Below are 4,545 nucleotides of genomic sequence, written 5' to 3' on the forward strand. Positions count from 1 at the left end.
GCCTCTGTCTTCACACAGCCTCCTCCTCTTCTGTGTCTATGCCTTCTCCTCTTCTGTGTTTTGATAGGATTATGGGCCCACCCAGGTAATTCAGGATAATCTCATCTCAAGATCCTTAATAATATCCGCAAAGATCCTTTTTCCAAATAAGGTCACATGTGCAGATTCCAGGCCATGGACATATCTTTTAGGGGCCACCATTCAACTCACTTCGTATTCCACTGAATGTGGAGGATGGCTCTAAAGCCCCCGGTTTTGAATAATTTCCCTAGGCTCATGTAGTGAGCTATTCCAGGGGTCTACTCACCCTGGCCCTGTCCTGCCTCCCTCCTTCCCACTCCCCTGACCACTCAGGTCATTTTCATGCATGCTGAGCACTGACTGAGGAGATCTTCAGCATCTCGAGGCCTGCCCACGGGGGTGCTCTGCTGCCCACCCCATGCCAATTTTCCCAGACCAGTGGACTGTGAGTCCCCAGGAGTACCTGGCCCCCTCAATCTGCTCTCTATGAACCCGTCTGAGGCCTGAGGGCTCTGCCTTGGAAGTCAACCTCACACCATGAGGATCCAACTGCAGCCTCACTGGGGCTCTGAGATTCAACCAGCTCCACCAGTTTCAGTCCTTTTGAAAGTTCTTGACACCTAAGGTATACCCCTCACACATGTGCGTATACACACACACACTCACATACACATGCCCCTCAGTGCCTCTCCAGGTGGACAGCAGCACCCTTTGCCCTACAGGTATTCTGAAAAGATTACATTAGATTGAACTTTTAGAACTTAGCTCCTATTTTCCTATGAAGTTTCAATAGGTTAGAGATGACCTACTTTTCTTTTTTCATTACTTTCCTCATAATTTAAATGTTTTTGTGCAACCCTAAGCTGCAATTTGTAAATATTAAAGTGACCAACTACGATTAAAGGAAGCCTTATTAGAGAGTCAAGCGATTACTGGACCCCTTGCTTATTTATCTGTTTTACAGTATTGCCTATGAGCAGGGTTGCCTGCCTTCTAAGTATAAAAGAATGCTGGTTTTATTTTATCACGAGTAGTACACAGCGTCTAGAGGAAGCCAGTAAATACCCATATTTTGAATTTTCATTTTTAGCTAAGTTGCTATGGAAACTCCTCCTCTCCCCATTGCCCCCTCCTGGCTCCATCCCTCCCCTCGCCTGGGGTCCCCAAAGCACATCAGGTATGGGGAGCACTGAAACCCCAGCACTACCACTAGGGCTCTGTGACCTTGGACCAGACACACAGGACCAACTAACCCCTCAGGCACAGGAGGAACCATGCCTAGGGCCCACCATACTCTTAGAAGCCCATAAAAATGTTATTTTTTTAATTACAAAATATATATATATATAACTTTATGTCGAAGAAAATGTTTTAATACATATCAATGTATTTGTCTTTATACGAATGCAGTCATAAAATAGAATATTGTTAATATTTTTGATGGAGGAAGGGGCCCAGGAAGATCAGAATGCACGTAGACACACCTTCTTTCTGAGCCTGGTTCCTCAGGGGGATGATGAGTGTGATTGTTTTTAGTCCCTGAGGCTGTTGTAAGGATCCAAGGAGCAAAAAATTGGATGCACAGTAGGTGTTCAATAAATGCTGCTTCTCTCATATCCTCTGTCCCTTTCTGAGCTCCAAAGAGACACTCTCAGGCCCCACCCTATGAGTTAGGCATTCTTTCCATTTAAGGGATGAAGAAGCTGAGGCTGTGAGAGAGAAAGGCCAGATTCATCCCTCTGTATTCTACCCTGTCAGACATGGAGGCCGTTACATAAGAAATATTTTTGACTGGGCACAGTGGCTCATGCCTGTAATCCCAACACTTTGGGAGGCCAAGGTGGGTGGATCACCTGAGGTCAGGAGGGTGAGACCAGCCTGGCCAACATGGGGAAACCCTGTTTCTACTAAAAATACAAAAATTAGCCAGGCTTGGTGGTGGATGCCTGTAATCCCAGCTACCCGGAAGGCTGAGGCAGGAGAGTCGCTTGAACCCAAGAGGTGGAGGTTGCAGTGAACCCAGATCGCGCCATTGCACTGCAGCCTGGGCAACAAGAGCGAAACTCTGTCCTCCACCAAAACAAAACAAAAGAAAGAAAGAAAGAAAGGAAAGAAATAATTTCAGGCTTGAGGATTGCCTGAGCATGGAAGGTCAAGGTTGCAGTGAGTCGTGAACATGCATTGTGCTCTAGCCTGGGTGAGAGAGTGAGACCCTGGAAGGAAGGAAGGAAGGAAGGAAGGAAGGAAGGAAGGAAAGAAAGGAAGGGAGGGAAAGAAAGAGAAAGAAAGGAAAGAAAAGAAGAAAGAAAAAGAAAAGAAAGAAAGAAAGAAAAAGAAAGAAAGGGAAAGAAAGGAAGGAGAAAAGAAATATTCTGTACCCCTTCCTCCCCCATTTTACTAGGCTGAAACAAAATTAATGAATAATAACCTAACTATATGCCTAATTTCAAAAAATCAACACAATGCCTTAGAGAAGAAATAAAAAGATAGTAACTTACCGTAAAATAATACGTATTTCAGTAGACAGAGGTGGAGGCCCGATTTTGCTAGAAGCCAACAGGAAGTAGGCAAACACTTGGCCTCCTACATGGAACCCCACAAATGGAGCTGCTGCACATGTTAACCTCAAGTTTCTCTGACATAGTGAACAACTCCCAACAAAGCTCTGAATAAAACTAAGCCTAGTCTTTTCCCCAGTTTGCATAGTACTTGCATTGCTGAAAAATTCAGTGTGAATTAAACTGAATATTTTGTTTACATACCAAACTGAATTAGCTTTTATGCTCAGAAGTTTATCAGCAGGTTGTTCATGTACATAAAATTTCAGTGAGACATTCCAAAGTCATGCAGAAGAAGAGACAGTTTCACCTGGCAGGACTGTCCTGCACATTGCAGGGTGTCCAGCAGCCCTGTCCCTGTGAAAAGCCAGTAGTGCTCAACATCATTAAGCCAGCCACGAGCAGCCCTGAAGAGCACTGTGGACAGAGCCCACAGGGAAGTAGGCCCTGGGAACACCCCTTCCTGTACAGAGGATAGAGTGAGAAACTGTAGAGCTGCCCAAGGGGGCAGCTCTGAGGCTGCTATAAATGTCTCTAAATTTTTTTCTAAGCTGCATTTCTAAGACTATTTCTTACCATTAAACCAACTACAGATCTTGATCCTCTGATGCAAATCTTGATGCCTATTAGCTGGTTGCACTGGTGAATGCTAAATGAGTTTTAGATTTTAATCCTGTGACATTCAGTCCTCTGAAGACCTGCTTGATACTGAGACCTTACATGCGGAAATTTACCTACATGCAAATGGACACATCTGCTGAGGCCGCATGCAAAGCAACTCTTCAGACACTCAGAATCAGCAGATCCTTGCCCTGGGGAAATGCTGTCCCAGCGCTCTCTAAGCCAAGGCGTCTTCTGGTACTTTCTCGGGAGATCCCTGGTTTGTTTATTGTGCTTTCCTATGTGCAAATCACATTTGCATAGCTGATTAGCTACATTTCCAGTGGGCTTGTATTCCTCTGGGGTTTTGAAGAGCCCTTAGAATTTGTCCTCTTTGGAGCATGATTTTCAGGCCACGAGCAACCGGGAGCTCCCAAACTTGCCACTAGGGGACTGCTTTTCACCGGCCCTGCTGAGCGGCAGGTGCCGGAAGTTGTGTCTGGGGAGGCGCTGGCTCCTTCCTGCTGGGATTTGTATCAGGGCAATCAAGGTCTTTCCTGCCCTGGCCCTGCCACGCTCTGGACTCCCACTCCCTTCTGTACATTGCCTCCTAGCAGCCTATCTACACAGACCTGAAAAATAAAAGGCAGTAAAAAACTCTTTGTTTTTGTTCACTCTCATCTTTCTGCTGCTTTCCTGTCTGACTGAAGCTTTCTCCTGCTTCCAGGCCTCAGAGAAGCCGTGCTGGCCCCAACCAGGTAATACTCTATCCTATAGAGCAGCATTTAATACACAGCCGGAAGTGGGATCGGGTCTCCACTTCTGGCTGCCTTCCTTTGGGATCAGGATTAGCAGCTGCTCACAAGTGGTCCCTTAGCATCCTGGGCATGAGGTCCACCGATGCACTTACTTTGCTCCACCATAGTGGTGCCTTTGTTACTGGCAAGGCTAGGAGCTTCTGGAGAATGAGACCATGCATTTGTTTGTTTTTCTAGTTTTGTGGCTCCTATCTTTAGCAAATCACTGCACAGGTAATATGCACTCAACTACAGTTGATTGAATTAATAAATTACCACTTTCAGAGCTAAAAGAAAGATCACTTACTCTACGGATCATCACGGGCCCAGAGAAGCACAATAGCGTGGCTAAACTAAAACAGCAAGTTGTGGTTAGGACTAAATCAAGTTTCAAACCCTTGGTTTTTAAAAATCTAGCCCTATGCACAAGAACATTTTTTTCCCCATGAGAAACACTGCAATCCGGTAAGAACTGGTGCTCCAATGATGTTGCAGCCAAGTGATACAGTTTCGATATGCGTCCCCACTCCTCATCTCATACTGAAATGTAATCTCCAGTGTTGGAGGTG

At 45.5% G+C, this 4,545-nt stretch overlaps 1 annotated feature.

Annotated features, from left to right (window-relative positions):
• Nucleotides 3,506-4,007: an enhancer, noted in NCBI's record as "NANOG hESC enhancer chr8:102345169-102345670 (GRCh37/hg19 assembly coordinates)". NCBI's record gives its function as "activates a minimal SCP1, AML or CMV promoter by ChIP-STARR-seq in primed H9 embryonic stem cells {active_cell/tissue: H9 hESC(primed)}" and the evidence as "EXISTENCE:reporter gene assay evidence [ECO:0000049][PMID:30033119]".

The sequence above is a fragment of the Homo sapiens genome, chromosome 8 (genome assembly GCF_000001405.40).
Source record: "Homo sapiens chromosome 8, GRCh38.p14 Primary Assembly".
Taxonomy (NCBI): Eukaryota; Metazoa; Chordata; class Mammalia; order Primates; family Hominidae; genus Homo; species Homo sapiens.